The sequence below is a fragment of the Homo sapiens genome, chromosome 15 (genome assembly GCF_000001405.40).
Source record: "Homo sapiens chromosome 15, GRCh38.p14 Primary Assembly".
Classification (NCBI taxonomy): domain Eukaryota; kingdom Metazoa; phylum Chordata; class Mammalia; order Primates; family Hominidae; genus Homo; species Homo sapiens.
In genome coordinates, this window is record NC_000015.10 from 50,851,943 (window position 1) to 50,865,131 (window position 13,189).

At 41.4% G+C, this 13,189-nt stretch overlaps 1 long non-coding RNA gene across 1 annotated transcript, besides 1 other annotated feature; it reads right to left on the minus strand.

The window, feature by feature from the left end:
- Window positions 1-476: 476 nt before the first annotated feature.
- LOC124903490 (uncharacterized) lies at window positions 477-12,180 on the minus strand. Its single transcript, XR_007064630.1, has 2 exons — window positions 8,913-12,180; window positions 477-598 (listed from the first exon to the last, which is right to left on the minus strand). It is a non-coding gene; the product is annotated as an uncharacterized LOC124903490 (long non-coding RNA).
- Window positions 2,766-2,815: an enhancer, noted in NCBI's record as "active region_9398". NCBI's record gives its function as "activates an Ori minimal core promoter by ATAC-STARR-seq in GM12878 lymphoblastoid cells {active_cell/tissue: GM12878}" and the evidence as "EXISTENCE:reporter gene assay evidence [ECO:0000049][PMID:35858748]".
- Window positions 12,181-13,189: the final 1,009 nt, after the last annotated feature.

A 13,189-nucleotide genomic window follows, 5' to 3' on the forward strand; every position in this document is an offset into this window, starting at 1 on the left:
GCCTACTTCCAATTTCAAAACCCGTCTGAGTGACGTAGCTTCTGCCCCCGTTTATCAGGAATGCTGGTTACAGGTAAGCAGGTTATATCCTACATAAAGAAACCTGGGCAAGGTGGTGCATGGGGGTAATATCAAGCTTGAACTCCAAATTGAACTCACCAATTCCTGAAACCATGAGAGTGAATTTGTTCAGGGAGTAGGTCTATTTTTGATTCATGCAAAGGCACGGTTTGGCTGCCTTGCCACTCATTCACTTAACATCTTTTTATGGCTTTTAGTTTCTGCTTCACTTTTGGCATCTAGAGATTTACCTTTCTTGTTTTTGAATTCATCCATGTATTTAATTTTTTGTTGTTATATTTTCTATTTTGTTGTTATATTTTTCTATTTTGTTGTTATATTTTCTATTGTTTGTATATGTTTGGAATAGGGGTGTCTTAGTTTGGGCTACTGTAACAAATATACCATAGACTAGGTGGCTTAAAAAACAAATGTTTATTTCTCACAGTTCTGGAGGCTGGGAAGTCCAAAATCAAGGTGCCAGTGTCTGATGAGGGTCTGCTTCTTGGTTTGCAGATTGCTATCTTCTCATTTTATCCTCACATGGCGGAAAACAAAGAGAGACAAAGGAAGCAAGCTCTATAGAGTTTCTTCTTATAAGGTACTAATTGCATTAATGAGGGCTCCCCCCTCACGACCTAATTATCTCCCAGAGGCCTCTCTGGGAGGGGGATTAGATACCATTACATTGGGGATTAGGCTTCAACATATAAATCTGAGGTATGGGGCGGGGGACACACAAAGATTAACTTCATAGCAAAGAGAAAAAGTCTTTTCATTGATTGGAAATCATAACCATTACTGTTATTGGAGTGCAATGGCGCAATCTCGGCTCACCACAACCTCTGCCTCCTGGGTTCAAGCAATTCTCCTGCCTCAGCCTCCCGAGTAGCTGGGATTACAGGCATGTGCCACCATGCCCAGCTAATTTTGTATTTTTAGTAGAGATGGGGTTTCTCCATATTGGTCAAGTTGGTCTCGAACTCCTGACCTCAGGTGATCCACCTGCCTCGGCCTCCCAAAGTGCTGGGATTACAGGCATGAGCCACCATGCCTGGCCCTCATTATTGTTATTTTTAAATAACGCATTTAGGCTGAGTACAAAAATTAGCTGGGTATGGTGGCATGCACCTGTAATCCCAGCTACTTGCAGGGCTGAAGAAGAAGAAACGCTTAAATCTGGGAGGCAGAGATTGCAGTGAGCTGAGATCATGCCACTGCAGTCCAGCCTGGGCAACAACAAGACTACATCTCAAAAAAATAAGATAAAATAAAACAATAAAATAGGCTGGGCGTGGTGGCTGGTGCCTGTAATCCCAGCACTTTGGGAGACAGAGGTGGGTGTATCACCTGAGGTCAGGAGTTCAAGACCAGCCTGGGCAACATAGTGAAACTCCATCTCTACTAAAAACACAAAAAATTAGCTGGGCGTGGTGGCATGTGCCTGTAATCCCAGCTACTTGGGAGGCTGAGGCAGGAGAATCACTTGAACCCGGGAGGCGGAGGTTGCAGTGAGCCAAGATTGCACCATTGCACTCCAGCCTGGGCGACAGAGCAAGACTCCATCTAAATAAATAAATAAATAAATAAATAAAATAATAATAAAATAATGCATTTCTTCTGTATGCTCTTTATTTTTCCAAATTAGATGAGGGATAGATACAATAAGAGAAACAGGAACTTTAAATTACAAACCTAAAAAAATCAAGAGCAAAAAGACAAGAGTCAAGTAATGAAGCATGGATATAATGTTAGGAGTACATTTACACTATGGGCAGCTACTAAAAGTGAGAATAAAACCTAGCTACTTATTTTTTTAAAATCTCATCAAAATCTGGTTTTCTTGGTTACAGTTTTAACCAAAGAATTTTCACAATTTTTGTAGGTAAACAATTTAATAATATGTGGGATTTTCCCCCCCATTTTTTAGGGGTCTAGCTATATTGCTCAGGCTGGATTTGAACTCCTGGGCTCAAGTGATCCTCCCACCTCATCCTCCCAAGTAGCTGGGGCTACAGACATGCACCACCATGCCCAGCAACCTCACTGCCTATTTGGAAAACCAAGACAAAAAGAGAAATATGATGGACTGTTTTTAGGGTATTGTATTTTGTAATTGATAAGTGCATAAAACGTATTTGGAATTTTCCCACACAAGCAGATAGATAAACCCCTTTTGCCCTATAACATAAAAGGCACTGTGTACCAGTTTTTCCAAAGTTGAGTGTTTATAAGTGCACGACTGGCTCTCCTACATTTGCTTTCTTTTTTTTTTTTTTTTTTTCAGATGGAGTCTCACTGTGTAGCCCAGGCTATAGCGCTATAGTGCCATCTTGGCTCACTGCAACTTCTGCCTCCCAGGTTCAAGCGATTCTCGTGCCTCAGCCTCCCGAGTAGCTGGGACTACAGGCGGGTGCCACCACGCCCAGCTAATTTTTTTGTATTTTTAGTAGAGTCGGGGTTTTACCATGTTGGCCAGGCTGGTCTGGAACTCCTGACCTCAGGTGACCCACCCGCCTCAGCCTCCCAAAGTGCTGGGATTACAGGCATAAGCCACCGTGCCCGGCCTGCTTTCTTGTTTTAAAACAAGAACAGTCCTGATGTAGACAAAGAATCTATCCCTGACTTCTGTTTTAACACTCAGCAAGTAGTTATGAAAGATGTTTTCTTGCTCAGTCTCATTGGTTGTGTTCAAAGTGGAAGTTGAAGAGTTTTTCCCTCAGGGCAAAAGGTTTTCATTCTCTCTGCGTGCTTTCCCTTACACAATGACTTCAGAGACTGGCAACATAAATGTTGCTTAACTTGTTCAGATGAACATGAAGGTAGAGGCTACCGCCTTAGGATTCTGAACCTGCAAGTGAGGTCAGACCTCAGAAGTCATCAAGTCCTAGTTTTGAGGCCCATGGGATGGCCTGGAATTTTTGTTTGTTTTTTCTTTCTGTTGGCCATTGAGCACAAGCAGAGAACTGACGGCTGTGAAAGCTGCCTAGAGGCCTGACAGCAAGGGTTTTACCTGAACTATTTGGTAGAGAAAGTCCAGTCTTCCCCAGCTAACAGAAGAGGGCCTCTCTTCACTAGCACCTTGCCTAACCTTTAGATAAGTCACCTACATTCAATTTTGCATAAAGTGGTTGATTTCAGAGCAGCCAAAGCAGAAGTGAAATCAACTTGGTGTATCTCAAGACAACACTACATGGAAAGACCTTTCCTGGTGCTCACAGTGGGGTAACAGAGATTAGGTTCGCCTGAGATGAGATGGATGTGATATGAAAGAGAAGGAACACTCAAGAAAAAAGAAAGGGATGAGTCATGGAATACTTTTGGAATATGAAAACAGAAATAGTTTACCTCCTCTATGGTTTTATCTGAGGAGCTTGAAGATGTAGAATATTTAGCTCCCAACTTTAGCTCACTATCCTGGTTTCTACCCCAATGCTAGATTCTGAAACAGTCTTGTGAGAGTAAAAGTCCAGGATGTAATATGGTCTGCTCTGCCCTTATCCAGGCTCAAAGAAAGACATCTTATATGTGTGTGTCAGAAGATTGAGGATTGGTTGGTAATCTTTACACAGGAGCCTAGGTCTGCAAGTGGGCTTATGTGGCTCTCTTTAATTACAAAGTAGACTAGGTATTAGCAATTACCCTACTCAAGAAATTCCACTAAAGAGTCTCGTCCTTAACAGGATTGCTGTTCCGTGTAGGCCACTCTTCCTTCTGTGAATCCCAGCCCAAGTCTTGGTGGTGATTCCTCCTCCAGCCCCTTCATCCTTTCAATTTCCACACCTGGTATCTACCAAAAACACACTTCTGAGCTTTTGCAGAGTGCCCCTTTATTTCACGGAGGCGGGAAGCTTGTAGATGGGAATGTGTGTTGCTCTAAATTAATTTCCTACACATGTTCCCTCATGTGCACAGAGCATTTGCATTTTAAGCAAATCTTTTCTCTCTCTCTCTCTCTCTCTCTCTATATATATATATATATACATATATATATATACATATATATATACATATATATATATACATATATATATATATACACATATATACATATATATATATATATATATTTTTTTTTTTTTTTTTTTTTTTTTTGAGACAGAGTCTTGCTCTGCCACCCAGGCTAGAGTGCAGTGGCACAATCTCAGCTCACTGCAAGCTCCGCCTCCTGGGTTCACACCATTCTCCTGCCTCAGCCTCCCGAGTAGCTGGGACTACAGGCACCCACCACCACGCTTGGCTAATGTTTTGTATTTTTAGTAGAGACAGGGTTTCACTGTGTTAGCCAGGATGGTCTTGATCTCCTGACCTTGTGATCCACCCGCCTCAGCCTCCCAAAGTGCTGGGATTACAGGCGTGAGCCACCGTGCCCGGCCTATCTTTTCTCTATTTTATTGGTCATAGTATAATTTTACCTGCAATACAAATATAACAGTGATTACATTTTCTTTCTAGTAATTGGCTGTAGGAATCACATACTCTTATTAAACTCTTCCTGTCAGTTTATACTGCACAATAACTTTAGTTTATCACAGTGCCTACATGCAATGCTACCTGATACCCGCTCCTGGAAAAGAATTTTGTTCTGTTGTGCTTACTTTGCTCTTTTCTGTACAAACTCCCTTTTATGTACTTTTATGATTTATTGGCATTATGCAGCCCTCTATCCTCCTTTCCCGACCGGGCTCAGAAACTTGGGAGTGATGTGCGTTCTCTCCCTTTCTAGTTGACTCTTTCCTGGCTCCTTTACTCTTCCTTCTCCCCATCTCCTGCTTTCCTGTCACTGGCTTCTCCAATCTGCTTTTTCCTCTTGCTCCCCCTTTGCCCAGTCTTATAGCACCCTCTAAGAAATGTGTTTTGCCGAAGGAAGGTCTCTGTACACTGTTATTACTTTCTTCTTTGACTGTGTTTTTAGTTTTTGTGTCATTTCTGGGAACTCTGCTACAATAACATTCCATGAAGGAAAGCTGAACACTAGGGAAATGAGAGAGGAAGCTGGGGAAAGAAAGAGCAGAGGGAAGATGGAGAGGGGCTCAGGGAGGACCCCAAACAAGTTAACATGAGGCATCTTGGAGTGAACTCTACAAATAAAGACACTTTTTACAATGTTTTACTGTTTACAAAGTAGTTTTCATATGTTACCTGATTATCTGGTAACAAATATAGGCATGCTTCTTAACATTTTGCAGATGAAGAGACTGGAGCTATAAATTAAGAATAATATAAACTGTGATGATGCAGCTTATAAAAGCAGAGTTGGGATTTGAGGCTTCTGACTTCAGCTCTCTTTCTCTTTCCACTATTCCACAATGCCAGGAAGATGAAGGAGTTGAACTCCGGGAGAATTCAAGTCACCTTTCACAAGGCTATGTTTTCCATAGGTTCAAAAAACCAAAAAATCCAGACTTATGCTCTAGTTTATCATGATTAATTTTTCTTGTGGTAAGAAAATAATTTAACCATTAGGTTTGTTTGTCGTAGCAACAAGAAATGAATTACTTTCCAAACTGGGAATATCCCTCTGTAGCCAATGAAAGAATGAGTACAAGTGTGGAGGAGTAAATCTGCATAAAGATAAATATAACTTTAGAAAATTCTTGAGACATTGACAGAGTTTTGGACCTAATTTCTAAATGGGCAGAAAGCTCTCTTTTAGAACAGCTTCTCTGCAATCCTGTGTAGAAGTGGGAAGATGAACATGGAGACTATTCAAGGCAGGGATGGTGGACTTAGTGGGTCATTTTCACTTTTTTGAGTTTCAAAATCTTACAAATTATATTATTTTTGGCTCTTTCTGTGTCTTTGAGAACTGCTCTTTCTACCTTAAATCACCTCCAGAATCACCAGGGCAAACAAGAAGCTTATTTGAACTTCAGGTCTCTAGAAAACAGACTGCTGTGTCATTGCACTTGGAAAGCAATCATTTAAAGATAGTTTTCAGGCAGGTGAAAGACCAGCACAACAAACTGATAAAACTGCCTCTGTCATTTGATCTCCTGCAGCCATTCTGGAGAGAAGACATTCCTGTTAGGAACCTGAGCAAGAAGCTCTGGTCAGGAGACTTCTATTTTATTAGGATCCTGCCCCAAGTTAGAGGTCAAGTTACAACTCCCCTCAAAATTACTCTGTAATAGGCTGCATTACATAGAAAATTCCAACAAAGCACCGGAATGTCTGAGTTAAGAGAGCTCTTTGTACATTAAGAAGAAAAATAAAGTTCAGCAGCATAATCCTATTTCTAAGCCAAATCTGGATAATACTAAAGGACTTCCAAATAACACCATTTAACTATTTGCGAGAATTATGAGTTTGCACTCTGAGCGATGTCCTGTCCCCTGCCCCCCAAACCTCAATAGAAGCAAAGAAGCTAGCAACACTCTACCTCATAAGCTTACTATTTAAACTGTGCAAAGGTGAATAAAAAAAGTGAGAATAAAGAAGGTGATGTGGGAAGATGGCAAGGAAATGTCCCATTCTTAAGCACCTTTTAAAAAAAGAATTGTAATCCCAGCACTTTGGGAGGCCAAGGCAGGCGGACCACGAGTTCAAGAGATAAGACCATCCTGGTCAACATGGTGAAACTCTGTCTCTACTAAAAATACAAAAATTAGCTGGGCATGGTGGTATGCATCTGTAGTCCCAGCTACTTGGGAGGCTGAGGCAGGAGAATCACTTGAACCCGGGAGGCAGAGGTTGCAGTGAGCCGAGATCACATCACTGCACTCCAGCTTGGCAACAGAGTGAGACTCTATCAAAAAAAGAAAAAAAAAAAAAAAAAGAAGTGTAATGCCAAGATTTGCTCAAAGCATTCCTGAATTCCATGGGGACCTAGAGTCCATTGACCCTGACACCTTCCACTACCCCTCATGGCCATTGTGTCCTGAATGCCCCTCCTTAGCCAGCTTCCATTTGCAGTCCTTGCATACACCAACTTATTTGCCTCTCTCTCCTTTCAGAGTACAGTATGTGCCTGGCAATATCCTAGGTATGGTTAAAACCAACTCTCTGCCTAGTTTGTGCTTAAAAGTGTTGGGGGAAAACATGCAACCATGCTGAGCAGACACACTTTAAATTCACGATCATTCATGATTATGGGCATCTTGTGGCCCTCCATGCTGCCTGGCTGTTCTTTTTTTTTTTTTTTTTTGAGGCAGAGTCTCGCTCTGTTGCCCAGGCTGGAGTGCCCTGGCATGATCTCTCTTGGCTCACTGCTACCTCCTCCTCCCGGGTTCAAGTAATTCTCCTGTCTCAGCCTCCCAAGTAGCTGGGACTTTACAGGCACTCGCCACCATGCCTGGCTAATATTTCTATTTTTAGTAAAGATGGGGTTTTGCCATGTTGGTCAGGCTGGTCTCCAACTTCTGACCTCAGGTGATCCACCTGCCTCGGCCTCCCAAAGTGCTGGGATTACAGGCGTGAGCCACTACGCCCGGCCACACTGCTTGGCTGTTCTATCACATTGCACACGCCCCTAGATGGCTCATCATACCTGTTTCCCCCTTTTACTCTCAGTGGGTCACCTTACTTAACTGTTTTCTTAAAAATTTCTATGTACTCCTATTACCCCAATTCCCACAGGACTTACATCAGTTTAGACCTTGGAAGATGGCACCCAGCATTGGCTACATGCTCCTACTCTAGTTGTCATTTACCTCAAGGGCAGCATATTTATTGAAGGTTAAAACAATAAGATAGCACTGTCCTAGGCATGTTCCCTGGCAGCAGTGTCCCTCTACCTCGTGTTGCTGTGCCTCTATTGCTTGAAACGTCAGTAAGTAAATGCAATCCTGTTTAACCCAGGGTCCTGAGCATGTGTCCCCTGCCCACACTTCTGCTGAACTACAGTTCACATGTCTCACTGGGACAGTCTGGGAGGATGCTAGCTGTACAGACTGCTGTTGCTTATCACTGCTGTTATTCTATCGAGCCGTCACCCAGAGACCTGCCCAAAGTTTGCAGGTGCATGTCCAGGGGTAAGGTGGGACCACACAGTTCAGCACCTCAGTAGGACTGTCCCCCACTGAGTCTTGCCCTGCTTTCTGCCACCTCCCCTGATGTCTGCCAGAAGAAGAGGCCATGCAAGAACTTAGGAAAAAAAACAGTGGGCACATTCATAATGGCTACCATTTACCAAGTATCTGTTGTGTGCCAGGTGCCTTACATGCATTCACTCACCTAATTCTAACAACTGTATTCCAAGGTGTCATTATTCTCATTTTATAAATGAGAAAACTGAGGCTTAGATTATGTAATATGCAGAAGCCTCACTGCTAATAAAGGGTAGAGTCTGCATCCGGACCCAAGTCTGCCTGAGTTCAAAGCCTATGTTCTTTTCACGACACTACTGCCTATTCATTTATGTCAAAATGAGAGCTTAGAGTTCACTGGAGACCATCAGTATGGGTTTCCAGGTTTCTTAGAATGCTGTGTGCTACCCAAATATTTTATTTTCTTATGTTAAGTGCAACAATTTTTATTAATACATGCAATTATATAAAATCAGAGCATGAACATGACCTGATAAACTTTGTATTTATTTTCATTTCGACTTGGACATCTAATAGGCATCTGAAACTTAACACATACAAAACCAAATTCCTGAAGACCAACTCCCCGCTAAATGTAGCTCATGTGGTCTTCCCCAGCTTAATAAATGGCAACTCCATTATTCTAATTGCCCTGGCAAAAAAACCTTGGTGCCATCTTTAATTCTCTTTCTGTCATAGAACATCAGAAAATCTTGAGGACTCTAACTTTAAAATATATTAGAATATATTTTCTATTGCTGTTACTACCCTGCTCCAAGCTTCATTGTCTGTTGGCCTGGATGATGGCAATAACTTGTTTCCTACCTCTTTGTCTCCTGACAGCCTTCACTCAACATTATGATCCAGAGTAAGCCTTTAAGACAGAAGTCAGCCTTCCCCACTCCCACGGCTTCACATGACTAGCCTAAAAAACAAAGATAGAAGTCAGGTCGTATCATCCTTCTGCTCAATATCACGGATTGGCTTCTCGTATCACTCCAAATAAAATTTCAAGTCCTTAAAAAGCTTATAAGGCTATATATCATCTAACCCCTCCTTCCCTATCTGAATGACTTCTCCTTCTCTCCACTAATCTCACTCTGTCCACACTGGTCTCCTTGTTTTCAGAAACATATTACGACTACTTCTGCCTCAGGACATTGTGTTTGCTGTTCACCCTGCTAGGAGATCTCTTCTAGATACCCACATGGCTTCTCCCTGGCTTCCCTTCTATCTCCGCTCAAATGTCACTTTATCAGTGAGGCCATCCCTTTAATAACTGTGGTAGCTAGTGTCCAAAAATGGCCCCTTAATGAGCCACATCTTCCAATATTCTCAGCCTCATAGAGTCCTCTCTCCTTGAATCTAGTGAGCCCTGTGACTTGTTTTGACCAATAGAATGTAGTGGAGGTGATGCTTGCCTGACTTCCAAGGCTACATCATAAGAAGCCTTGCAGTTTTCACCTGGAGTTTTTGGAATATTTGCTTCAGGAGAAGCCACCGGCATGGGAGAAGCCTGACTACTCAATCCCACCATGTTGTGAGAAAGCCCAAGATAGCCACATAGAAAGGTCATGTGCAGACAGAGTGATGCCTGGCCAGACCCCAGTTGTTCCAGCCTTCCCAGCTGAGGGGCCAGCCATGTGAATGAAAAAGCCGTTTGGAATGTCCGGCCCATTCAATTATTCAGATAACCCTGGCCCGATTTGCCATATGACCGCAACTGTTTAAAGACCCCAGGGAACCTACAAGATCATACATTTTTTTCTTAAAGTTTTTTTTTTTTTTTTTTTAATTTTAGAGACAGGGTCTCACTCTGTCACGCAGGCTGGAGTGCAGTGGCACAGTCATAGCTCACTGTAAACTCAAAGTCCTGGGCTCAAGCAATCTTCCTGCCTCAGCCTTCTGACTAGCTGAGACTATAGGTGCATGCCACCACACCAAGCTAATATTTTTTAACCAATAGGATTTAGGGTGTTTTGTTGTGTGGCAATGGATATCTGAAACAGAAATCAATATGTTACACCCCTTCCCACAAATATAATGACACTCCGTATCCTCCTTAACTTGCTGTATTTTTCTCTTGTTGCATTTACCACCTGGCTTACTGTGTATCTACCTATTTGTTATTGTCTCCCTATCCCCGCTGGAACACAAACTCTGGGAAGGCAGAGACTTTGTCTTATTCATTACTGTATCTGAGCGCCTGGAATAGTGTCTAAGATAGGCCCTCAATACATATTTGTTAAATGAAGGCATATATTTAATTTAACTTGATAAGTTTGCTTTTTGTAGACATAGCAAGTCCATAAAAAGAAAAGACAAATTAATTTAAATTGCCCATGCCGACAGCCTTCCCTCTTATGGACACAATATCTGGAGATGTCTAAAATACTGCGATCTTCGCCTTTCCACTGAAGCATACCTTCCAAGGGGAAAGGAGTAAGATTCTGCTCCTTTAATACATACTGACCTCAGGAGAAAGGGACTAGAAATGTATGGACTGAATGTCTGTGTGCCTTGCAAATTCATATGGTGAAATCCTAAACCCCAATATGATGGTATTAAGAAGTGAGACCTTTGGAGGTGATTAGGTCATGAGGGTGAAGCCTTCAGGAATGGGATTAGTGCCCTTATAAAAGAGACTTCAGAGAATTCTCTAGCCCTCTTTATGCCAAGTAAGGACACAGTGAGAAGATGACCATCTATGAACCAGGAAGCAGGCCCTCACCAGACATCATATCTTCCAGCACTTTGATCTTAGACTTCCTAGCCTCCAGAACTGCAAGAAATAAATGTTTGCTGTTTAAGCCATCCAGTCTATGATATTCTGGTATAGTAGCCTGAACTAAGACAAGAAAAAAAAAACAGGTGTCAGGCAGATTCCAGGAGAACATCCCTTAAACATAACCCAAATGGAGATGACTATCAGAATCATCAAACCCTGTTGAGGAGCTCTTGTCAGTAGATCTGTGCTACACAGTGTCACCTCTCCCTTCGCTCACTTCTGGAAGGACTCAATAATTCCTCCTCATTCCACAAGCACTTCTTGAATGCCTAGTCACTCTCTTATGATAAAATATCCATTCCCTCCTTTCACAAAATTAGTCAGAATAAAGAAAAACCATTGGGTTGAAAAACTTTGAATAGAATGTTTAAAGTGATTTAGAAGTTTGGACACAAGAATTTTGTTTGCGTTAAAATAGTTCAAGATCTCATCTCAACCACTTCGTGGGAAAATTGCTAGCATAGAGATGCTTCAGCTGTTAGCTTTGTTGACCTTTTTGTTTTGGCACTTCTGGAAAATGGAGGAAGGGGCTGAAGCTCATATATTCTTGGAGAAATAAGGCAAACAGCACAGCTCAGGTATGGGCTGGTGATGTGGCATTCTGTGTCAAGTAAGGAACACCCTGCCATCTCCTGGGCCTCAGCTTCAGATTTCTGGACAGTACCTTCTCAGGCAAGAATACATATTTTCCCATGCACAAGCAAGAAGGCTGCCCAATCCATTTAGATTCATATGGAAAGAAAAGAGACACTGCCTCAAATTCAAAAGCAACAAAGCAGGCGGAGATGAAGTACAAGCTCAGAAACTCACAATAATTGCTTTACTAACCAGAATATCTAGTTAGCTTCTCTGCTGGAAATATCTGCAGTTATGTTTTCTCAAAGTGCTCTTCATGATCCAGATTAGCTACAAGTTTTACTTTTTGTAAAGGGCCCAGTTGGGTATTTTTTCCAGAACAAAGGGTGAATGCAATGAATAGTCAAGTTTTTACCTTTCTCTAGACTGAAAAATTCTAGCTTTAAAATAATAGCTTTTCTAGATTATTTCAATACCCTGCCCTCCCCCTTCCTTTAAAAAATAAATCTTATAGATTAAGTTTGGGCATCTGGTTGAAAAAACCCCATTTAAAACATTAGAAAATTGAGAGTTAGAGAGACTTAAGATCAGCTAGTACATGAGCCAAATCTTCAGATACAAAATCCATGTGTTCTCCATAGTGGAACACTGTAAAATTAAACTACCACACACTCACAAAGCTTTGTTTTTTTTTTTTTTGTTTTGTTTTTTGTTTTTTTTTTGAGCAGAGTCCTGCTCTTTTACCCAGGCTAGATAGTGGCACGATCTTGGCTCACTGCAACCTCTGCCTCCTGAGTTCAAGCGATTTTCCTGCCTCAGCTTCCCAAGTAGCTGGGATTACAGGCGCACGCCACCACTCCCAGCTAATTTTTGTATTTTTAGTAGAGACAGGGTTTCTCCATGTTGCCCAGGCTGGTCTTGAACTCCTGACCTCAGGTGATCCACCCGCCTCGGCCTCCCAAAGTGCTGGGATTACAGGCGTGAGCCACTGCGCCTTGCCTCACAAAGCTTCGAAAAACATTCCTTAATAAGGCCTCAAGGATGAACATGTCCTTGTGTATTTTTTTTCCGTGAAAATGAAACTAGTCTCAAATCTCCATGCAACTGTAGCTGGAAAAATAAATATTGATCTAGTTTCCTCCTATAATTCTGAATTTTAGTTCATAGGAGCTTAGAGTTAGAGGCAAACTTTGGACATTATTTAGTCCTAATCCATCACAAATTGTAAGAAAAAACTCAAAATAGCTTTATTTAAAACAAAAGTATCTTTAGGTATAATGCTATTTTCACACATGATTGATAAATTTATTAGGATGAAAATCATATTAGAATAAAATATCTTTGAGGCTACAACTCGTCCTTTTTATGTGAATAGCAAAATTAAAGGCTTAAAATATATGCTAGGATGAAGACGAAAAATGTGATTTTCGGAAGACTGGAAAGTACAATGAAGGTTTGGCTTTCATACAAGGTTTGGATTTGTTTTTTAGATTCTTCCCAGTAATTAGATTTAGGGTTTAGAGTATCTCATGTGACTCTCTTATAAAAACAGACATTTTAACCAAGCACTGACATGCAAAATAAAAACAAAAACCTTTTTCCTTCAGGGACTAGCCCAGCTACAATTGGAAGTTCAGTAATGCGTCTAAACATACATAGTAATTAAATCTAGCTTCCAACAAACTTAAAGTTAAATTTTAATTACTTTTTATGGCTGGGTAATAAATTGTATGTAAAT